The sequence below is a fragment of the Homo sapiens genome, chromosome 1 (assembly GCF_000001405.40).
Source record: "Homo sapiens chromosome 1, GRCh38.p14 Primary Assembly".
In the NCBI taxonomy this organism is placed as follows: Eukaryota; Metazoa; Chordata; class Mammalia; order Primates; family Hominidae; genus Homo; species Homo sapiens.
The window spans coordinates 87,227,553-87,252,614 of record NC_000001.11 but is presented as its reverse complement, the minus strand read 5'-3'; the positions used below and the strand labels follow the sequence as shown (position 1 = coordinate 87,252,614).

The following is a 25,062-nucleotide window of genomic DNA, read 5'->3' as shown; positions in this document are numbered from 1 at the left end:
TGCACTCATGCGTGTCCTCTTCATCCCCTTCCTTTACCACTAACCCCCTTGTTGCCCTTGACAGACTTACGTAAACCATTTGTGTCTGGTTTGGTTCCCTCATTCATGTTGCCCACAGAGCATTTGGAGAAAACTGCTTCAGATTGTCTCAGCCAAACATTTGCTATTTATAGCTATTCCCATTTCTGGAAGGCCAACTGCTTGCACCAAAAATGTAGAACATAGACACCAGATAACCCCTACCCACAGATGGGAGCACTTGTATCTTGTCTTCTCTGGGGTAAACGGCAACTGAAAGCTCAATTCCAATATAAGATGTAAGGGACACAGAAAACTTAGCTACCAGAAGTAGTCTTGCACAGAATTAATTGAGGGGCTGCAGGAGTCTGTGAACCTTCAAAATAAAATCACAGGCCAAATTTTAGATGTTTGTGCACTTTGTGGGGGAAAGATTCATTAGCTTTCATCAGATTATTAAAGTGATTCTATGGACTCAGAAAAAAACTAAGAACTGGTCTCACACAGAATTATGTGATATACTTTTCCCATTACTCAAAGGCCAACTTGCAACTTTTATTGTCTTAAGTCACATCTTCCTTCCTCAGTATGAAGAAATGTAGGCTTGATCGATCATAAATATCAAAGGAAATAGAAATGAAGCTGTATTATTCTCCACTGAAGGATCCTTTTTGGCTCCTATTTTTTTCTGTCCTCCATGTGTCCTTATTTTATTTCTCTTTCCATATCCTCCCATTCCAGCTCACCTCCTGTGTATTCTATTTTTCCAATGTTCCAGCCATATTCCTGGACATGACTTGACCTATTTCTAACATTCAATGACTTGTAATAGATTAGACTTTATAGCTGGAAGAAAGTAGATTACCCAACTCCATGGAGTGACTTAACTGAGATGAGAACTAGTAGATTATAATAAAACACCACTGCATATTTCCAAATGCACTTTGTCTCACTTGGAGATAAACTTTTCCTTTAACAACCACAGAAGTTGAGTTGACATATGTTGTAGTATATTATTTTGATTAAATTCCAGTGAATTCCAGCAACATCATGTGTAGAACTGTAAAAAAATTCCCTATAATTTTCAATTTTCTGTTTCTTGTGTATATCTCATGAGACAGAGAGAGGAGAAAGAATTGATTGTCCCACTGTCATGGAAAAGTGGAGTTTCTTTATATAGATACATCCATTGACAAGTATCATCTGTTCTTGCCAATTTAATTCATTAAGCATCAAATGAACCAGGCACCCACTTAGGTCCAGTGGTGGATATAAAAGGAGTAAAACTGATTGTCTGCCCTCAAGTTGCTTATGGTTTAATGGGAGAGAATAATAAAAACAGATACAAAGAGCAGGAAGCAGTGGAGAATTAGATCAGAGGTCTAACATTCTCAGAGAGAAAAGAGAAACAAAGAATTAATTCTTATCTCCCACATTTGCCTTCACTTCCTTTTAGCACTCTCTTGACATTTCTCCCTTGTTGCTTTTCTTCCTTTCTTCTTCTTTTTTTTTTTTTTTGTTTTTTTTTGTTTGTTTGTTTTTTTGGAGTCTTGCTCTGTTGCCCTGGATGGAGTACAGTGGCGCGATCTTGGTGCACTGCAACCTCCACCTCCTGGGTTCAAGCGATTCTCTTGCCTCAGCCTCCTGAGTAGCTGGAACTACAGGTGTGCACCACCATGCCTGGCTAACCTTTGTATTTTTCATACTGATGGGGTTTCACCATGTTGGCCAGGCTAGTCTCGAACTCCTAGCCTCAGGTGTTCCACCCACCTCAGTCTCCCAAAGTGCTGGGATTACAGGCGTGAGCCACTGTGCCTGGCCCCCTTGTTGCTTTTCTTAAATAAAGGAACAAAAACAACAAAAAGTGAAAGTAGAACTTCTCAGTCCAGCTTTTTGTCCTTCCCTCTTTCCTTCCAAGCATTTGTCTTCCTTTTTCTGCTCTTTGGCCAGGCAATGGACTCCGGCAAGTTAGCTTCTCTCGCTCTGGTTTCTTCCACTCCAGCACATTTTCCTTCTCTGCCACGCCATCTCCTAGGCACCTTTCACCCAACGAATATGGGTGGAGCAGCTCACACGTCCAAGCTCTGTGCTGGGCCCTGGAGACAGAAAGGCATATCCAACCTCTGTGTAGAGAAAGCTTGTTTACAAAACTCTCCATCTCCTAGGGGTCTATCTTTCCTCCATATTATGTTCCTTTTTTATTTCTTCCACTGTCTCTCCTCAGACTATTTTTATTTCCATCTTGACTGCTGTTAGAGGTCTCCTATGAGAAGGAAATTATCTATAATGGAACAGGAACATTAAAAGCCTCAGTTTCCTTGGTAATTATTGAACTCATGAGGGGTTCACATTGGGTTTTGAATTTTAAGAACTAAGTTAGAAGAAACTTTGTTTTTCTAACCAGATTATTGTAACACTTGCCCTTTCTAGTTCTTCAGATATTGGTTTATAAACTTCAGACTGAGAATTTTCTGTAAGCTCCAGTCAATGCCAGATTATGAAGAAATGCCTTTCCAAATTCCTAAACCTGAACTAAATATGTCAAAGGTAGGAAGCCTGGAAGCAACTGGTACCTGCATCTCTGTATGAGCAAGCTTGAATGCGTTTAGGCAACCAGGTATTGCTGAGATGACTCAGCTAGTCTGAGTCATCTGCTGGTGTGCCACTCAAGTTAAGGGGAACACTAGTAATAATTATCAATTTTTGATCATTTATTTATTTGTTAATTCACAAAAATATAAACACCTGTGATACAGTAAGCATTAAACTGAGAGTTGGGATTACACCGAGACAGACATAGTTTCTGCTCTGATTGAGTTTTCAGTGTGGCTGGGATTATGAACATGTACAGTAATTCTAATACAGTGTCCTGCATGTTATGACAACACCTACTATGTGCCAGGCATGTGCTAGCTGTGCCATATTCTTATCTCATTTAACGTATGCAACATCTATATCTGGTAAGCACTATTAATCTCTCCACTTTACCTGTGAGGAAACTCAGACTTAAAGATGTTAAGTAACTTGCCTCAAATCACAGATTCTGAACTGAGGTCTGCTCAACTCCATCACTAGAGTCCTTCCCCACCACACTACAGCATTTCTCACAAAGCTGAAATGTGGTGCCATGCTTGACATCGTAAACTGACTGTCAGGACTGAGAAACGGTAACATGAAGCAGCAGTGGCAGTGTCTCAAGCTACTCATCTGCAGGAAGCTCGCTTATGAGAATTAGGAATAAAATAACAACATGCTTTTAAAAGGTCATTCTCTATGACCCAAACCATTTTCTAATTCCAGGGGTAGAAAAATCTCTGCAAAATGATAGAAGAATTTTTTTTTAATCTCACCAATTTCCACAAAGATCATATTCATATTTCAAGTGCTTTGTCTTGAAAGGCCAGAAAGGGGAAAAAGTAAAGACTAACTCCCCTTCTTAAGAGAGAAAAAAGGAATACAGAGAAGAAGTGATGATACATAAAAGCACAGTTAAAAGGTCTGTCTCCAACCAAGGTCAGCAGGCTGCCCAGATTCAGACAATTCCAAATGCAACCCAAAGTTTGTAAATGCCCCATACCTCACTCCCTGGGGCCTGATGGGACATATTCCTAACAGCTGTTATTACCTTTTAGCAGGTCAGAGGAAAGATGATATTCTTTGGTTTTACCTGGAAAGATTTTCTTTTATCAGCAGAAAAGGATAAAAACTTAATTCTTGCAAAGGAAGAGGTTTCAATAAAGTGAATCTAAAAAATAATCCACTCTGGCAAAGCGTGCCTCATTAAAGAATTTTCTGCTACATATCGATTTGCAGTTTGTACATGATATCTTAAGATAACTGGTGCACGGTCTGTGAATTGGAATGTTCAGATTTTTGTTCCAGCTTTGGAATAACCAACATGGTGACTTTTTGCAAGTCATTTTACCTCCCTGGGCCTTGATTTCCTTTTCTATAAAATGATAGCATTTGGACTTTATAGCTCTCCTTTCAGTTCTAATAATCTGTGACTGTATTCCATGGACCCTAACTAGATAGTTACTTATCAGGATCAGCATCCCCATGGGAAACCAGACTCCCCAAGCATTTATAGCAAGCCCTATTTATGTCTCTAAGGAGGTGGGCCACCCAGCCCTAATGGCCTTTCCTATGCCAGGAGAAGTTTGAAATAGGGAAAAACTAAAGAGAAAATTAGAGTTAAAAACGGTTTGTTAACTTCCTGATCTGGGAAAACAATGAGGCTCAACCAATTGAATCTAAAGGGAAGGAAACTGATATGATTTGGCTCTGTGTCCCCACCCAAATCTCATCTCAAACTGTAATCCCCACAAGTCGAAGGAGCAACCTGGTGTGAGGTGATTGGGTCATGGAGGTGGTTTTCCCCATGCTGTTGTCGTGATAATGAGTGAGTTCTCATGAGATCTCATGGTTTAAAAGTGTTTGACAGTTCCCCGCCTCATTCTCTCTCTCTCTCCTGCTGCCATGTAAGATATGCCTTGCTTTCCCTTCACCTTCTGCCATGATTATAAGTTTCCTGAGGCCTCCCCAGCCATGTGGAACTGTAAGTCAATTAAATCTCTTTTGCTTATAAATTACCCAGTCTCAGGTAGTTCTGTATAGCACTGTGAAAACAGACTAATACAGAAACTAAATATAATGATCTTTGTAACGGGGATAATATTCTTAAAATATTAATTCTTTGTGTATTTATTACCTCTTCTTCTAAATTATGTCTCACAGCAGCCACTCCACATTTTGAGCCCAAAGAAACAGAGTGAGTAAATGCCACTTTGGGCATCAGGAGTAAGTGATGATGTGTGTGTGACTGGGGACAGCAGGAGGGGTCCTCCCATCAGACTGAAGGAGGAAAATGCAAGTGTGCTCTTCTACCCCCCAGCAGGTTGTGAGAAGTGTAAAAGAGCTGGAGGAGGAGAAATAATGGACATGCATGCCTCCGACTCTCTCTCAGCCAAAGTTCATTGCTGCATAACAAGTTAGCAGCTTGTTATTTAAACCACAAATTTAGCAGCTTAAAACAATGGACATTTATTATCTTACAGTTTCTGTGGATCAGGATTAGCTGGATCCTCTGCTTAGGGTCACACAAGACTACAACCAAGATGGCAGCTGGGCTGCATTCTCATCTGGAGGCATGACTGGAGAAGAATCCATATCCAAGTTCACTCAGGTTATTGGTAGTTTTCATTTCCTTGTGGTTGTAAAACTGGGGATCCTGGCTTCCTACTGGCTGGTGGCTGTCTTCAGGTCCTAGAGGCCACCCACAGTTCCTAGGGGTAACCGAAACCTACAGTTCCTCACCACATTGGCTTTCCCTAAACGGCCACTCCATCAAGTCAGCAAGCAAAGTCTCTTGCAAGTCAGCTAGCAAGATGAAATTTTTTATATAATGTAACATAATCACCAGAGTGATGCTGTATCCATTTTTTATATTTTATTGATTAGAAGCAATCACAGGTCCCACCCCCACAACTCAAGAGGAGGGGATTATACAAAGGTATGTGCACCAGGATGTGAGGATCATAAGGAATCACCTTAGAGCCTGTCTGCCACAAAACCAAAAGAAAAGAGGCCCTTGTCCTTCTCTGAATCTCTGAGAAGAAACCTTGCAGAGTACTGTCCCCACCCCCACACCCAACACGTGGTGGCCGTATCAGAGCAAAGTCATGATTAGGCTGAAAGCAGGCCTGAGTTGGTTTGCTGGAGTCTCCATCCTTGTATGGAAAATACTCAGAAATTCCTGGATGCTCTTTAGGAGGAACGAGAAAGTAACTGACTTGCTGAACAGTCAGCTCGCCAGAGTGGTCACCATGGGGGAGCAAAATGACCCTGTGGCCAAGGGCAGCCAAGGCCAGAGAGCAAGTGGTAGTCACAGCCAAGCCTCAGAAGGATACACAGCACCAGCTGGCTCAAAAGAGAAGCCCACCAAGCCATTTCCAAGCTGAGAAAAGAAGAGCTCTCAAGTTTCCAGCAGCAGCTGCCACATGGGCAAGCACTAACAGTACAGGGAAAGGACACAACCCAGCAGGACCAGTGAGGACTCCGAGAGCAGCCAGAGGCCTGCACAAAGACTTGTGGGGCCACCTCTGGGCTACAGAGTAAACTCACCCATCGACCCTCTTGAGCGTGAGGATTCTGAAAGCCTGAGCAGTTACCTGAAAGGAACTATTTTAAACCAAAAGGAGACTGACATATTGTTAATTGGCTCATTTAAAGTTCACATTTGTTTCCCTGCTACCCCAGGGCTGGAGGATCTTGAAGAAAATTCAATCAGTTATAGAGAAATAAAGGAGTACATTTTCTTTGCACAATTGGATTGTGTGAGTGAATTTGTAATCTTGCTACACCTGCTATGTAACAGACATTATATACATATGTTTTCATAGAGTTCTCCCACCATCCTATGAGGTAAGTGTTATCATATTCCCATTTTACAAATGAAGTTGAAACTCTGAGAGGGTAAGTAATTTGTGCAAGGTCACCCAGCTGGTAAGTGGAAAAGTTTGTATAGAACCCAGAATTGTCTAATACTTAGGCTCTTATTCACTGTGCCTCTGTATTAGTAAGGTAGGCTAAATTCTGTAATTAGCATTCCTCAAATCTCAACAGCTTAACACAAAAAAATTGGTTATTGCTTATTTCACTGCCAAGTGCAGGTCTTACTCTACAAACTCTTTGCTCATTTAGAGATCTACACTCTTTCTCTCCTCTGGGTCCACTATACTCCAAATCTACAGAGTCCTCTCCATTCAACCAGTGAATATAGGAGGAGAGACCATGGAGGGTTGCATAGGGTGATTTTGTGGGCCAGGCCTGGAAATGGTACACATTGCTTCTGGCAACATCTATTGGCCAGAACTCATTGACATGATGCCACCTAGTCACAAAAAACGCTTGGAGGTATAGTCTGGGTATGAGCCTAAAAGGCAAAGCGATAGGACTTGGCGGACACATAGTATTCTTTGCCACCATTCCATACTCATAACCTAAAAGACGTACACATATGTCATCTTTTTCACCTTTTTTACTCCAGAGGAATCAGATTTTCCTTCCACTAAATATGAAGATCAAAATTCAAAACATTGGTCTGATAATACAGTGGTAAAGATAACAGACACATCCAGAAAACTTTTTAGATTTGGCTTCATGGTACTCTACATCTTGCTATGAGTTGTCTATCATTCATTTTAGTTTCATACCTGGGTGTCAGCAGCTAAAGTCCATGGCTAGCATGTGCCCTGGACTGTCTATAGGAAGAAAGTAAGCCATGGCTTACTCTAGTTGCTTAGGTGAAATCATAATGTGACCTGCCTTAGTGTTGTGTCTATGGTTTGGATGTTGGAGTTCCTGTGGGAAGAGAAATCCAACACATGATTGTTTTGCTATAGTCTTAGAGAGGACCTAATTGCCTGGGCTTAAGCCATTCAGAAAACTGAGAATAATAATAATCATGATCATCATCTCATAACTTAGAAGTTACCATGTCATACTGAGATTTGTTTCCCCAGGGCTGGCAGGCACTAGACAAGTGTTTATGGATTTGATCTGACCAATATGTTTCTTTTAATGGTAATTATAGGAAGATGGGCTTAGAAAATATATTTTTGGCTGGAATGAGGACTTAACGTTGCTGTTGTTGTTGTTGTTGTTGTTTTAACCATAGATGTCTTGGAATAATGTTATACTTGATAAATGCAAAAATGGAATAAACAACTATCCACCTAGTGAAGGTTGGTATGTGTTCCTGACTTAAGATGAGGTTAACTGACATTACAGCTGTGCTTTCAGGTGTCCTTCAGGGTTTGATGGAGGAACTGCAGAAACCATGGCTCATGGGAGGTAGAGCAGGGGCACAAGAGGGCACAGGTCCCCTATTGTGAATTCAACGAGAGTAGCTCGGTCTCGATCTCTTGTACCATGTAAAATGTGAAGAAAGGATGATAAAGACATTGGGAAGCCACTGGAGTAAACCAATGGATTTGTTTGGATATCATATGTGATGTAGTTAATCCTACATCATTCTCTCCATGCCTAAGAAAGGAAAAACTGGTGAGGTGATAGCAGGCAACTCAGAGTCTATCTTCCTCAAAGGCAATTTGGAGAGTGGAAAAAGCTTGGGCTTTGGAGGCAGACAAGCCTGAGGTCAAAGCATGGATCTTATTAGGTCTGCACAGCAAAACACTGCCCTTGCGGGATACCTGTGAACAATAGGAAAGGCCACAGGCTTAAAAGAAGGACAACATATTGTAGTGATTAAGAGTAGGGCTTGGGAGTTGGACTGCCTGATTCAAGACTGCCATTTACTAGCTTAGTAACCTTGGGCAAGTTAATTAATTTCACTAATCCTCAATCTCCACATCTGTAAAATGGGTTTATTAATAGTATTCATGTCATAAGCTTGTTATAAGACTTAAATGAATCTATGTCTGCAAAGCACTTAGCACTGCTGGACACATAGTAAGTGTACAGTGACGACAATTGTTACAAATAATTATTAGTTCTAAGCACAGACCCAGACACACAGAAGACATTTAATAAATTATGGCTATAATAACTTTCATCCAAGATCTCCTCTCAGAAAAAGAAAATACTAAAGTGAAGAAGGAACAGGAAGGGGTGATGTGTTAGTAAAACAGAATGAAAGAGTGAGTTTCTTAAAGTATTGAATATGAGTAGAAAAACTGCATGAGTAGCAAAGAAAAAGATTAGGGGATGTATATGGGCTTGGGAACCATGGTAGTGACCAGATAGACAAACATGGGGCCAATTTCATGCTCAGAGATAAGGCATTACCGTGAAAGAAGAAAAGCTAAACAGTCTGGCATGACTCAGTAGGCCTCATTCCAAAAGCAAGGCACTATCTTCAGACAGGCTCCAATAAAATGTACATGGAACACAGAAGCCAGCTAACACAGATCATTTTCTCAACTTTCCAAACCCATACCTTATGTCCTGTGGGGTGGCCATCTTGCTCAGGGCCAGATTCAGGCAGGCAGTGGGACAAAGAAAGCCAAGAGAGATGTTTAGAATGAAGAATGGGGGTAACTCTCCAGCTCCCACATATCATTAGCAGGCAAATGTGTGGTGCCCAGTCGTGCAAGGCTTTGCATTAAATAAAAGACAAAGGGAATTGTCTATATGTAGCTCCTGCCCTCATGCACCTCAGGATCCAATATCCATCAGAGACTCCTTTTCCTAGGTGGCCCACCAGGCAATAAGATCAGATGGCAACTTTGCAAACTCATGTTTTATCTTCTTAATATAAAAGCTGATTCCCTCAAATTATCCATTAGAGGCAAAAGAAGAAGAAAAACATCACCCAACAGTAACTCTTAAAATCCAAACTGATTAATTTCTCAAATGAATAATTTAGATCTGAGACATGAAATCATTTGGAAAACAGCTTCTACTTTAAGTGATTTCATTCTACACCTTTCAACACCAATGGACGCCACTATTTCACAAAACTTAATGCTGGTCTTATCTGCAAAATGACTTCCAGTATAACCAGTCAAAGGGAGAAAGCAGTGCCTAACGGCAGGGCAGGATTCCCTTCCAATTCTGAAGAGGAAAGGGCAGGACAAGGGTGAGCTGTAGCCAGGTCAGTCCCGTCCACTTAAGCAAATAGCTCCTTCCGGATGAATGGCCAGGAATTGAGATAATAATCTGCAAATGTTATCTGGAAACTAGATGGATGACCGATCCCCAAAATACTTGAATACAATAGAATAAATCTCCCAACAAAGACACAGTGTTATGTTTAATCTGTCTTTAATGATCAAGGGCATCATATTACACATAAATTGTCATTATATGGTAGTTGTGTGGAAGTACATGTCAATAATAGGCACGTTAGATATACATATAGCACAGAGGTTCAAATCCTACTCCATAGGTTTAAATCCTGTTTCCACCATTTACCAACTGTGTGACCTTGACTCATCTTTGTGCCTCAGTTTACAAATCTATAAAATGGGAATAATATTGCTTATCTCATAGAGTTTGACAAAGACTCTCTCCTTTGACTGAAACTTTAGTCAGGCTCCTCTGAGTCCTCAGCTTGACTGGGCCTGAACTTGGGCTTCCCTCTCTGTGTTTGTAGAATCCATTTTGAACAAGAATCCTACTAACAAAAATCCTCGGCCAGCCGCTGTGGCTCATTCCTGTAATCCCAGCACTTTGGGAGGCTGAGGCGGGCAGATCACCTGAGGTCAGGAGTTTGAGACCAGCCTGGTCAATATGGTGAACTGTCTCTACTAAAATTACGAAAATTAGCCGGGCATGGTGGTGGGCGCCTGTAATCCCAGCTACTCAGGAAGCTGAGGCAGGAGAATCGCTTAAACCCAGGAAGTGGAGGTTGCAGTGAGCCCAGATCGCGCTGTTGCATTCCAGCCCGGGCAACAAGAGCAAAACCCTGTCAAAAAAAAAAAAAAGGAAAAATCCTCTGCCCTTGGTATCCGATCACCCTGGCCTGCCTTCAACAATAATCCCATCAAGTTGGTTTAGCCAGAAACCCCCTTGTTCTCAAGGTTCACTCTTAGTAATTTTCTATCCACTGACCCCCACCCTACTCCATGGTTGTAAACCCCTTGTCCTTGTTTTTGTTTTTGTTTTCCAGACAGAGTCTTGTTCTGTCACCCAGGCTGGAGTGCAGTGGTGCAATCTCAGCTCACTGCAACTTCTGCCTCCCATGCTCAAGCAATTCTTCTGCCTCAGCCTCCCGAGTAGCTGGGATTACAGATGTGCGCCACCATGCTTGGCTAATTTTTTTTGTATTTTTAGTAGAGACAGGGTTTCACCGTGTTGGCCAGGCTGGTCTCAAACTCCGGACTTCAAGTGATCTGCCTGCCTCGGCCTCCTAAAGTGAAGAAAAGTTTTTATATGAGCTGCTGTGAGTTACTTCTCTAAGACTCAGAATCTAGAATCCAGCAGACTTGGTCTCAAGTTCCAGTTATGCCCATTATGAGCTGTGTGGCCTTGGGCAAGACGCACAACCTTATTAAGTCTCAGTTTTCTCATCTGTAAAGTAGGGATAATAGTAATAACTATTCAGAAAGAATTTGTGAGGATTAAATGAATTTATGTACTACAGACACTCAGCATAGTCAACACCATTATTAATATTAATACCATTAGAGTAACAAATCTCTCTGGCTTCAGGATCCTTTTCTCTAAAATAAAAAGAGTTAAATTATCTCTAAGATCCCTCTCAGGACTAACATTTTAAAAATTTCTGAATCTATTGCCACTTTACAGATGTAAAAACTGAGTCACATTTCACAAATAACAAAAGCCATGGTTTCCCAGACCATTACCCTCCTAAGTAGACCCTAAATACTTTATTCTGTTTTAATTTACAGGCCTACCAAAAGCCCGGGCCTTTTGAATATTCAGCTGGAATGTTAATTATGGGAAATTCCAGAATCCGTGGCTTAGAGACAAGTTCTCATTTACTCTGTTCCCTGGCACTGGGATCCCTCCTGCCTTGCCTTCAGAACACCAACTTACTTTCCAAAGCCCACGCAACCAAAGCCAGATGGCAGTGCCACTCGGTCCCTGCTGCCCCAGGCCTCCATCCCTGCCAGCCCTCAGAGCTCCATCCACTGGCCTGGGTCTCCCGTTCTTACCCCTCCTCTACTTGCCCAGGTCTCAAAGGTGGCCCTAAAGAAAGGCTTCCTTTATACCACTTCCAGAAACACATTCTAAGCCTTTTTCTGGGCCTGAGTCACAACGAACCAGGAAGAACCACAGGTTCACTTGTTCCTTATCAGATTTAAACACCATCCACTTATTGGAAAGAAATCATTTCTTTAGTTACGGAGCTTTTGCTTTTCCTTTGCTTGTTTTACTGGTGATGGTGGCATTTTGCACACCGTAAAGGGCCATTTCACCAGCTGACTCAATGATAAGCTTGTTGGACTCCTTGTCCCATAACAGAGAAGCACAGGAAGGTTCCAGGAGATCTCAAAGCCTGGGGTTCCTGGAGGGAGCTTTGCACTGGCTGACCTGGGTCCCCATTTTGCCTGTTCTGCTGTCTGACTTCATGACAGTTTAACATGATGTGCAGAAAGGCCAGGCTTATTCCCTGGCAGGAGGCTCTAAACATCTGCTCTGCGGTAGGAGGTTTTAGGAAGACTGGGGTGGTGGGTATTCACAGAAGATTGAGGGAGTTTGGTGAAAAGAATCTAAAATCCTCAGTGTAGTCACAAGATAGGGGGGAAAAAAATCTCAGTTATTTCAACTCCCTGACTCACCATATTCTTCCAGGCAATGATCTTCATGTCCCAAGGCTAATCTTGAGGGGTGGGATCATCTTCAAGGGCAGAGACACTAATTAGCCATGGTGGGTGGATGGATGGTGTGACAGGCATCAGGCAGATCATCCTCAGTTCCTTCAAGTGAAGGGAGGCTGAGGAGACAGATGGGGCACATCTCTTGCCCCTGAATGAACTGAGTGATTTATGTCTTAAGAAACCCCATGGCCTTGTAGTGTCTTGAACAGTGCATGACTCTTAGCTTTTGACTTTCACAAATGCTTTCAGTTGACCCTCAATTTACGGAAAAAGAAGAAAAAGTAGCCTTTCAGGGATCAAGGAATTTTCTTTAGGTTATGTGGCCAGCTAAGCATAAGAAAGGACAACACCGCTGGCTCCTGACCCCTACCCAAGTCTTCTCCCCACGAGGTCACTCTGCATGCTTGGTGCAGGGTCAGGGCTCTGGGCATTGGCCTGAGATGCTCAGATGGGCCTGGCTTCCCTCCCTTCCCACAGGGAACCAGCCACCTCGACAACGGAAGATGAGTCTTGCTAGGACAACAGCCAGAGTCTTGGAAACCTTCATTTTTCTCCTCCAAGTACTCAACTCCCAGAGAGTCAAGCGATCTGCCTACTGTAGCAGAAAACCATGTCCATTTTTATTTGGAGCTATTTAATACATATTAGCCACATGCCAAGCACTGTTCCATGATCCCCAAGAGCCTTCCTCCCCACTTTGAATTGATTTATGCTAAAACAATTACACACCCTGGAGCTTCATTCCTGAAGTCGGCTGGAGGGGACCCCCATGGGACCCCATGATAGTAAAAGTGTTACAGCACCCATCCCCTTGGCATTTCTAAGGCAAGACACCCCAGATGTACTCTAGGGCAGACCAGCTCTATGTCCGGTTTGCATGACATGCCTCTGTGTTGGCCAAGGTTTCAGTGCATTGTGATAAAAGGTGCTAGTGGAATGCTAGAAGCTCTCTGAACTCAGGATTAACCAGCTCTCTGGAGGACACACAACTGAGGCCCTCGGCACATGCAACCGTCTAAAAGAAGAGGTCTCTCTACTTAGCCTGTGTGTTTGTGCTCCCACAGCCTCAATTATGTTCTGATCAAGAGGTAGTTGTGATGGTTCTCAGATTCCTCATTCCAAATGTCCTTGTTATCATAATTACATAATTTTGATCAATATATGTAACCTGATGAAATATGAGTTCAGGGAAAAAAAGGACTGTTTGCATGAAAACTAAGTAGAATGATTTGAAAAGAATTGGTAAAGGCTATTGCTAAAAAAAATATATTGCCTAATGGTGTATGAGAAAGACAACTGTACAGGACTGGGGCAAAACATAAAAGCCCGAAATGGTTCTGCATTCAGATTGCTTCACAGGTTTATTTATGTTTGCCTTCTGCATTAAAAGAACCTAAGCTATTCTTTTAATCATAAAATCATAGCTATTGAGTTACAGGTGTGGTTTATTCAAAACGAGGTAGGGGAGCTTCCTTCAGTGGGTGCTTACTCAAAGGAAAAGTCTTAGCCCTAGGTAATAATAAAAATAATAGAGATGTTGAATTAAAGTATATTTATTTAAGATAAATTAAAAACATTTAAGGTGTAAACCCATACTTTTCCATGGCTTACCTCTTCAACTAAATTTTTTCCACATAACCAACCCTAGACTGAAGAGGGGGCTTCTACTGTACTAAGAGGTAAATATACCAATGCACCCAGACAGTGAATTAGACAAAAGAATGTGCTGCCACCAACATGAAGGCTTTTGCTCCTTGATTGCTCACTGGGTCTTGTTCTTTCATTTGTTCATTTATGGAGTTCATCAATATCCTTGAGCCTCCTGAGAAAGGCATTGTGCCAAGGACTAGCAGTGTGGCAAGGAGCAAAGTTGATGGCAGCACCAGTGCTCACTTTCCTGGTGCTCCCATTCTCCCGTCCACCTACCAGCCAACTAGATGCCACTCTTATCCAGCTTCCCTGCCCCCATGCTGTGGCAACCCCATGACTTGGCCTCTGCTGTGTCCTTTGTCTGGAATCCTCTACCCACTCCCAGCCTGCCCAAAGCCTTCCATCCCATATGCCGCCTCCTCCATGGAGTCTGCCATGATCTCTCCAGGCAGAAATGATCTCTTCCCACCCTATCTCCCATGGAACTTTGTTTGTTTCTCTTTTATAAAATTTGTCATGTATTAACATTTATTACAAGTTTCTTGCCTTAGATTTAACCCCTTTCCTAAATTGGAAGGCCACCTACGTCAATGACCAAGACTTGTTCATTCTGGCATCTCCATGCTGCCTGGTCCAGGGTCTTGTTCATAAATTCCAAATGTTGCTTTGAGTATTAAAATACTGCATATAGAGTTCGAGACCAGCCTGACCAACATGGAGAAACCCCATCTCTACTAAAAACACAAAATTAGCTGGAAGTGGTGGCACATGCCTGTAATCCCAGCTACTTGAGAGGCTGAGGCAGGAGAATCGCTTGAACCTGGGAGGCGGAGGTTGCGGTGAGCCGAGATCGTGCCATTGCACTCCAGCCTGGGCAACAAGAGCGAAACTCCGTCTCAAAAAAAAAAATACTATATATAAAGATTAACTAACATAGAAGATACCAAGAAAAAAATACTTGTTGATGGATTATGTGTCTTTTTATCTCTAAGAAACATTTTTGATTGACTATGCAAACTTCAAAGCTTCTCTTATTCACCAGCTAGTTTGCAAGTAATACCATGTGATCTGCTAAAAGGAGGATTCTTTTGGAAGTTTTATTTGTTTGGGAACCTCGCATTCTATGGAGATTTTCTTTCCTGCTGGAAAACATCTGGACGTAAAATGAAAGAAATTAAGTTTTTCCTCATATTTCTAGAAATATTATTCTGCCAGGGATTATGTTTATTCTCACATGCCCAAAATGGAGAGCAAAGGGACGATGAAGAACATAATACCTCTAGAAATTTCAGAATGCTAAAAGTTTCATTCTCCCAACTTGCACTTTAAGAGTTGTGAATCTGCCTCATCATAATGTAAGCAACGGTAAATGAGGATGACTTAAGCAATTACCCAAGATGGCCATGATTCCACTTTCCAGGAGCCCAGAATTGCATGTTTCTGAAAAATAATCATTTCCAAAGAAAATAATTACTACTCAATAATGCTCTTTATGTTGCTAATGAGACTTGGTTGGTCACCACACTGATCCAGGCTATGTCTGCACAGCTTTGGCAAATGTCTATTACTGGGTGCACAACTGAAGTAGATTATGCCTGGGAGGAAGTAAATTCATCTGCCTTTTAAAGGACTTGGAGGGAAGCAGGATGCCACAGTGGAAAGATGGTGGGACAGGAGGTCAGCCATTCCAGGCTAGCATCCGGTTCTGTTCCTCATAAGCTGTGTGGCTTAAACTGGCAGAGCCTTATTCTCCTCCCCTGCTAAATGGGGAAAAGAATATGTGGTGAGAAATAAGTGAGATATTGAAAGTAAAATGTCTGTGCCTAGATCACTATGGAGGAAATAGTGATCCTCACTTTGACTCATTCTTGTTGTTTATAAAGCATTTGCACACTCAGCTCATTTGAGTCTCTTAAACTCCCTGTGAGAGAAGTAAGATAAGTACAGGTTGAACTTTCTAAAAAGGCTAATGTTTGGCTACTTAGACCTATTAGAATAGACTATGGATCCACCTGACATTATCCCCATTTTATAGATAAGGAAACTGCGGAACCCAGTAATTTTGACTCTCAGGCCAGTATGTCTGTCACCAAAAGTTTGTTCAAAATGAAAAAGGTGAACATACCAAAAAAACATAAGCACAGTCCTTTATGAGTAGACATCTAGCAGAAGAAACACAAATGGCTAATAAATGCAAAAAAATGGGCAAACCCACCAGAAATCAACGTATATAAATTAAAACAAAAGCCAGGTACTTTTTTTCCATTATCAAACTACCAATTTTTAAATGTTACTACTGTGGGAAAAGGTGAGGGAAATGTATATGCTCATTCATACTTGCGAGAAGTGTAAAGCAGTATAAATTCTCTGACATGAACTTAACTATGTATAAAAATCCTAGAACAGTTCAGGAGTCAATGTCCAGGAATTTATCTAAAATCACAATCAAAGATTTGAAAAATGAAAGATGCATATTACAGTATTATTTATAATACAAAATCGTAAACAACCTAAATGTCCAAAAGAGAATTAAATACATTTAGCAACACTTATATATTATGAACTCTGCACCCATTAAAAATTATGCTTTAGAAGATTATTTAATGAATGAAAATATTTCATGCTAAATCAAGAACAGGTTTAAATGAGATATATATATATATATATATCTTATGGTTTTAATTTTATAATTAGTTACACATACATATACACACAGCACACATTTAAAAATCAAACACAATTTTAATATTATTCTCACTGGGATGAGAAATTGTAGTTTTTTTCTTCTTGTATTCTTTTGTATTTTCTGGATTTTCTTTAAGAAACATGTATTTATCATCAGAAAAAAATGTTGCGCAAAATATTAATATTTTTACATTGAAGGCTTAATTCAAGCAAAAGAAATCATATTCCTAAACAACAAAAAAGTACTCATAATCCTCATACATCATCTTAGATGAAACACTGATGTGCTAACATATTCAAAAATCAAACTCACCCTTACACCAAAAACAGAGGTACCAACCCTGGTTTTGTGCACATTCAGGACACAATTAAACCTGACCTACAATCAGCAATGGGATGTGGCAGATGGAGAAAGCTCAGGATGTGGAATTTAACTCAGCCACCGAACCAACAATCAGTGTTATCATGGCATTGAACACAGGCACCTGAGTTCCACAAGGAACCCTAGAGGCAGTGAAGATGAGAAGACCAGGCGGTTGGGAAGCTTCAAGTACAGGATTTAAAAATGACCATCTATTGAGCATATTTGTGTAACAAAAAGGGCAAAAGCTCTCTATTCCACACAGTCTGGTTCAGATTGCTTCTATTGTGGACATTTATTTTTTATTTTCCCTTCTTTTCATCTGTTACCCATTCTATAACAACATGGCTCAATCTGTTCAGTTCAGGTAGGGCTGACATACCCACAAGTTGTGCCCCGCTAAATACACAGAAGGACTTTTGCGTTGCCTTACACCTAGTTGATAGACTCCTCCGCCCTTCTAGCCATGGTGACAGGTGCAGAAGTGGGTTTACAACTCAATCAGACTAATCAGCCTTTCCTGGTATTTTACCAGAGTTCTTGAGACATATAATTATTTGGGGCTGCCAGCAGTCATCTTACCTATTCGTGAAGAGAAACTACTTGAAGATTAAGCCAAGCAGAGGCATAGAGATGAGAGAGTTTAGAGATAGAGATAGAGATGGAAAGAGGGAGAAACCTTATTTGAAGCACTAGATCCAACTGTTCCTAAAGTTGGCTGTCTCTCATGAACTTCCCAGGTACCTGAGCAAATTAATATCCTTTTTTAAAATAAAGTTATGACCTAACCCTCTATCACCTGTAACTGCAATATTCCTAATTAATACAGCTTTTTCTCCTCTCCTCTGTCTTTTCAGTATTATGGCAGCTGCAATTAGACAGGATTTGGTCCCCTCCCACTTGAAAGTAGCCCCTATCCCTGAAAGAACTAGCAGGTATAGGAAAGAGGTCTTATGATTCATTTCTCCTTTAGCCATTAGCATAGTATTACCTGGAAGACTAAACAGGCATGCATAGGAGTAGAGGAAAAGGGCTTGGGTTTAAGCTTATAGGTCAAAACTAGTCTTTGTTCTTCCACGAGCTCCATCCCAGTTCACCAAGTGAACAAACCAGATAGTAATTAAAGCCATACCCTAGCTATTAATGAAATATCTATTCCTTGGGAAAATATTCATAGTTACAAAAAAAGGGTGTGGAGGGGACCCTAGTACCCCCACTATCCCCTTTCTCCTCTTATTCCCGGACATACAGCTAAACTACATTTTACAATCTCTCCTGCAATCAGATGGAGTGTTATGACTAGATCCAGCCAATACAATGTGAACAGAAATGCACTGTATTGATTTACTCTACAGTTGTTTCTGAGCAGGTAAAATAGAGCTCAAGGTGAAAACTAGGTCTTTCTTTTTTTTAAAAAAAAAAAAAGGCAAATGACCAATTTTCAGGATACAAGGGATAGAGCTGGCATTATTTTGACTCAAAGCTGATGGAAAGAAGTTTCTTCTATCGCTTCTGCCATGGTCAACAATGTTCCTCAACCCTGATGGTGGAAGTACAGGTACAAGTCAGCAGATGCTGCTGGAGGGGCCTCAGGAGAGGGAGAAAAGGGTTGCAAATGTCAGGAGCCAGACATGGTCTGACAAACGTGAGCAGGAGCTGTGCCTACAATCTTTGCTGGTTAGTAGCCACCGCCTGTATCATTAGTCAGTTCTACTGATGAACCAAGCATGCACTCATTCACATAGTACCAAGCACTGAGGAGCTGCTGGCACCACAGAGAGGAGGAAGACAGTCTCTTCCCCTGTAATAAAGTTACACACAAGCTCTTCTAATACCCCAGGGTAGGGCCTGAAACATCCAGAAAGTGTTCACAAAAGAAAAGTTATTTGGGCCGACTCCGCAGTAGAAGTCCACATCAGAAAAAGGAGTGGAGAGCACTCCAGGGAAAGGGAAAAAGGGCAGAAGTCTGGAGTGCAAAAGAGCATGGCACGTGCAGGAAATGGCCAGAACGTCTGTGTGACTGGAACCTAAGTTAACTCCATAGGGTGATGGGGAGGAAGGGCTGTATGATATGTGAGAAATGACATGCTATCCATTATATGAGCAGATATTGTAGGAAATCAGGCCAGAAGGATTAGAAGAGGAGAGAACTAAAAAAGCATCCACATGGATAGGACCAGCAGATATTCACTCACTCAACAAAGGTTTCTCAAGCTCCTGCTCTATGCCAAGGACTGTTTTAGATGTCTGGAATACATCAGTGAGCAAATCAAAGATACCTGCCCTTAAGGAGCCTACATGCTAATGCAGAGAGGCAAGCAGCAATAAACATAATAAATAAGCAAACTATATAATAAGGCTGACGATAAACTAAAAAACAGTACAGGAGGTAAGGGGGTCAGGAGTTGGGGGAGGGAGTGTTGCAGTTCTAACTAGGGTGGCCAAGGCAGGCCGCAATGAGAAGTGAGATTTGAACAAAGACTCAAAGGAGGTAAGGGAGTCAGCCAAGCAGATACCTCGGAGAAGAGCATCTTAGATAGAAAAAAAAAAAAGTCCTAAGGTTGGAAGACCAACAAAGAGACCAGGGAGCCTGAAGGGAAAGGAGCAAGGAGAGAGAATCAGGAGGTGAGGTCAGAGAGAGCCTATGGGGCAGTTGGATTGCGAAGGGCCATATAGGCCACTGTGAGGACTTTGGCTTTTACTCTGAGGGCAAGGGAGCTGAGGTGACAGGAATGCTGCAGTAGAGAGTAAGACATTGCAAATGTCAGAAGGGAGAGGTGCTTGTGATGGTTAATACTGAGTGTCAATGTGATTGCATTGAATGATACAAAGTATGGATCCTGGGTGTGTCTGTGAGGGTGTTGCCAAAAGAGATTTAACATTTGAGTCAGTGGGCTGGGGAAGGCAGATCCACCCTTAATCTGGTGGGCAAAATCTAATAAGCTGCCAGTGAATATAAAGCAGGCAGAAACATGTGAAAAGGAGAGACAGGCCTAGCCTCCCAGCCTACATCTTTCTCCTGTGCTGGATGCTTCCTGCCGTAGAACATCGGACTCCAAGTTCTTCAGTTTTGGGACTCGAATTGGCTCTCCTTGCTCTTCAGCTTGCAGAAAATATATTGTGGGACATTGTGATCGTGTAAGTTACTACTTAATAAATTCCCATATATATACATATATATGTGTGTCTGTATATATGTGTGTGTGTGTGTATATATATATACACACATATATGCTATTAGTTCTGTCCCTCTAGAGAACCCTGACTAATACAGTGCTGTAGCAATATCCTTGAGTAGAAGAGGGAGGCATGGCATACTGCACAGGCAGACGGACTGGCTTTAGAAGGGAGCACAGACAGATCATCTGTAAAAACAGGCTGCAAGGTGGAGTCTGTGGGTACAGATGGTAGTAGGTAGGGGGAAGTAGGGCAGGAGTCTGTGGACTTTCTCTTCTGCCTGCTTCAGTTTTCTCAGTGAAGTACGAAGCAGGGTCATTAGCTGAGAGTGGGTATGGGGAGAGGAAATTAGTTAACTGGGAGAATGAAAGGACCAGAAACTAACAGAATGATTGCCTGGCAGCATTAAGGACCCACTTAGGGTTCATGGTCATGAATTTAAAGTGAGACCAGTCCGTGTGGCTGTGTTTTTCTCTAGTCATATTCAGCTGCACGGATGCGGGAAGAAGCGAGTTGGATTTAACCAAGATTGTGGTTTCACTAAATAAGTTTGAGGAAATGAGAAAGGGGCAAGGGGGGTCAACAAGATATAGCAGGATGTGATTATGAGGATTGAGCCTGAGATTTAAGCTCAGTAAGAAGAATGGGGACAGCAAAGGGGTGAGGGACAGGGAAAAAGTGGAAATACCAATCGAGTATGGTCCTCGTGGCCAAGGGCATCATTCAGCATGGGTACTAAAGAGAATGAGCTGGAGGCCAGGCGCAGTGGCTCATGCTTGTAATCCCCACACTTTGGGAGGCCGAGGCAGGTGGATCATGAGGTCAGGAGATCGAGACCATCCTGGCCAACATGGTGATACCCTGTCTCTACTAAAATACAAAAAAATTAGCCAGGCATGGTGGCACATGTCCATAGTCCCAGCTACTCAGGAGGCTGAAGCAGGGGAAGCACTCGAACCCGGGAGGCGGAGGTTGCAGTGAGCCAAGATCAGGCCATTGCACTCCAGCCTGGCAACAGAGCAAGATTCCATCTCAAGAAAAAAAAAAAAAAAAAAAAAGAATGAGCTGGAAAGATAGGAGCTGGGGGCCAAGAGTGGGGCAGTAATTTGAGAGTATAGAACAGCTGCCAGGGTTGGTAATGGAAGGGCACAGGAGTAAGTGGCTGGGGTAGGGTCAGACAGTTGAGAAACCCATCTGGGCGAGCCATGCTAGAGGTAAAGATTCACAGGTCCCGGGTGTTTGAAACCTTGTTGTGCTTGTGAGTTGCAGAGAGAGAGTACAGAGGGAGGAGAGAGAAGGGTTGAGCTCAGAGCCCTGGGAGGACAATGTTGGACAGAGAGGAGGCCCAGCAGGGAGGAGGTAAATAGGCAAAAATGCACACCACTGTCCTGGTAGTCAACAGAGAAACAGTCTGAAAAAGGAAATGCATGGCGGGCAGAGTCAGAGTCCTCAGAAAGGTCAGATCAGGTAAGGACCAAACATTGTCTATCAGATTTGGCAATTAATCCACTTCATTAGTGGATTCAGGAGCAGCTGGTGGAGTGAGGCGTGAAGGAGAGGTGAAGAAATGGAGCCAGCAAGTGTGGACCTCATTCTCTCTGAAGCAGCTCAGAAGCAAGTCCAGACAGTAGTGAAACTACATCTGATAGTTAGTCCCCTATGGCTATAAGCTGAGCCTACTGACAGAACCTTTCCTGGAAATGCAGAATGAAAAGAGAAAATACAAAAATGACTTCATTGCTTTAAATCATGCAGATCTGTATGCACACATCTGTAAAACACTGTTGTCAAGACAACTGACAAACCCTGGAAAACCAATCCCTCACTTCATTCATCCATCACCTAGTTCTGTGCCGGTGGTGCCTGCCTTTTTCTCTGTTGCCATAGATAACCTTAATTTAGATGAGAACCTGCTCATTTAAGACACAGTGAAACCATGATCATTTTTGGATTGGATTATTGCCCATTTGAGAAAGTGGTTACTGAAGAGGACCTGTGATTGTGCATGAAATGCAGGGATGACAATGACCCTACATATCAGACAGCCAAGTCGCAGTGCTAACTGGGACACAGAGGACCTGAAGATCTCAGCCATTCATTAAAGCAAACATCCTATAAAGCCCTACTAGTCACTTATTAGAGAAAACGGGAGTGAAAGTTATGAACCACCTACTTCACAGGATTGTTGGAGAATATATTGTGAAGAGCTACAAAGTATCCTAAGGGAAATCAAGGCCTTATACATGATATTTGAGTTATTCTAGCTGTTATGAAACCTTCCTGGGTACTGGCTGGGTTTAAACTATAAATAAAGAAAACATCATATTTCACTTAAGTTACTGACAAGGCATATAGTAATAGGGTGACTTCAAGATATCCAGTGGAATAACCCTCTGAGTTTATGTTATAATAAACACAATCATTAATGTTAGGCCTAAGTCTTGGATAGACAAGGACCCCTAAAAACTGAAGTAGTTAAAAACTAACACAGGAATAGAAAGCCAAACACTGCATGCTCTCACGCTTAAGTGGGAGCTGAATAATGAAAACACATGGACACAGGGAGGGGAACAACACACACCAGGGCCTATCAGGGGGCGGGGGAGGGAGAGCATCAGGGTAAATAGCTAATGCATGCTGGGCTTAATACCTAGGTGATGGCTTGATAGATGCAGCAAACCACCATGGCACACGTTTACCTATGTAACAAACCTGCATGTCCTGCACATATATCCTGAAACTTTAAATTAAATAAAAAAAAAAAAAGAAAGAAAGAAACTACCTCAGTATCCCAGGTCAGCTCTGCAAGGTCTTCAAATGTGCTCTAGCAGCAATTCCTTTTTTTGGTGGGGGGGGTGGGTGGAGAACAAAGTCATTATCTGACCATTCTGGGGGCCAGAAGTTCAAGATGCCTCTTTTAATCAAGGAAGCTTTGCCTGTCCCTGCCCCCAATTAAGAAAATACCTCCCTGATCACTGATTCCTTTTTACCCCCTTTTTTTTTTTCCAAGCAACACAGAATCTTGGGCTCCTGAGGACTGGTGAACTCCTCTGGAGACATCTGAAGCCATAGCCTGGCTGCTGTGCCAGGTTAAACCTTGGGAAACCTTCCCCTCAGCCAGGCTTGGGCCCTGGGCATCCTGTGGCAAGGCTGTACCTCAGCCCCAGTGTCTACCCTCTTCCCATCTCTTTCTCCTCTCCCTCTACCATCACTGTCATCTGCCCTATCCTGGAGCACCTCTAACTTTCACTGATCCCCTCATTGCTCAGGATTCATATTGTTAAAAAGAGCGACCATCATGAGTGTCCTTCAAGAACATTGTTAACTCACATGTATATAGTGCATTATAATTAATAGCAAGCACTCCCATAAATTGTTTCATTTGAACCTCAGAGCAAACCCATGAGAGGGAAAGGATTAGTAGTAATACCTCCATGCTACAGTTGGGGGGACCGAGGCTTAGTGAGGCCAAAGTCACACATTATTCTATATTAGTTTCCCCTGGCTGTTGTAACAAATTACCACCAACTTGGTGGCTTAAAACAACACAAACTTATTCTTGTATAGTGAGGGGTTACCTTTTTTCCCTGTATCATCATCACACGGCCTTCTTCCTCTTCTGTAGTCAAATCTCTGCCACACTCGTGATTTCATTTAGAACCTACCTGATCACTCAAGACAATCTCCCCCATCTCAAGATCCCTGACTTAAACACATCTGCAAAGCCTCTTTTACCATATAAGATTCCAGAGATTAGAAGTTAATGTGTCTGGGGACCATTACTCAGGTTACCACACGCGTCAAATTTGTAGCAAGAGTTCTACGTTCCCTGTTGAAGCATTTCCACTCATTTTCTTTCTCTTTGGAATTTGCAGTCATCACAAAGTTGCTACTTTTTCAGTTAAGTTCCTGGTCAAGGGCTGAGCAAGTGACCCCTCCAAGCATGCTTCTGCAGTCAGATCACCAAATCATGCGGACAAAGTGAGCCTCATGGTGACGGGCATCACCCTGAAGTGGCCCCATAGGCTGCACAGTGCTTTCACGGTTCTACATCTTAGCCTTCAGTCCCCTCTGCCCAGGCACATCTTTCTCTTTTGTCTTTTCTCCCATTGAGTCTCATGCCCTTTTCTACCCCCAATCCTCCTCAACTGGACCCTATGGGCTGCTTCTCCATTTCACCAGGGCGGACACATTTAGTATCCTCTGCAGTTGTCACTGACATTCTGTTTACTCCCTGGAAGGCCTAGTTATTAATGGCACTTTCACCCTTTCATTGCAAATTGCAAAGACCTTCCCCAGGCCCCCAGATGGCCCCTCAGAGAAGACGCTCTGATTCACAACAACAAAATAAAGCAAGACCCAGCTCTTCTTTGGGAAGCTAATTTAAAATCCCCTTGTTCCTCTTTAGCCCCTATCAGTTTTTCTTTCATATAACCACCAAGATTAAAATATAAAGTATATTTTGCTGAGAATCCAACTGTCTCAGGTGGGGGCAGGACCATGCCTGCTGGCTGAAAGGGGCTGCTCCAGGAGCTCTGTGAGACAGCTGGCAGAGGTGGCCTCAGACTGCCGAGCTGTTCCCACAAGGGTCCTCCAGCAGGCAACCTACTCAGCACCCTCCATATCCTTCCAGGGCCACCCATCACCTAGTACCGGGCCCATCCATGGGGAGGGGACATTGTCTCTATTGGATAGATGAGAAGATAGTAGAAACGGTCCAATATCACACCCCTGTAAGTGCCAGAACCAGGGCCAGAAGCTAAATCCATTTAACTCCAGTGACAACAGTGAGTAAAATCTGGAGGCAAATTCCATGAATATGTGTCTTCTCCAACCACCATTGCAGAGATCTACTTTTGGGAT

The 25,062-nt window shown here is 42.4% G+C and overlaps 1 long non-coding RNA gene across 1 annotated transcript in view; it reads right to left on the bottom strand.

Moving 5' to 3' along the window:
* Positions 1–1,283: 1,283 nt before the first annotated feature.
* LINC02801 (long intergenic non-protein coding RNA 2801) overlaps positions 1,284–25,062 on the bottom strand; it is a 38,663-nt gene continuing 14,884 nt past the window's right edge. Inside the window, exons 3-4 of the long non-coding RNA NR_167752.1 lie at positions 8,978–9,000; positions 1,284–2,114 (exon numbers count right to left, since the gene is read on the bottom strand). This is a non-coding gene — a long non-coding RNA (long intergenic non-protein coding RNA 2801). The remainder of the gene's footprint in view (positions 2,115–8,977; positions 9,001–25,062) is intronic.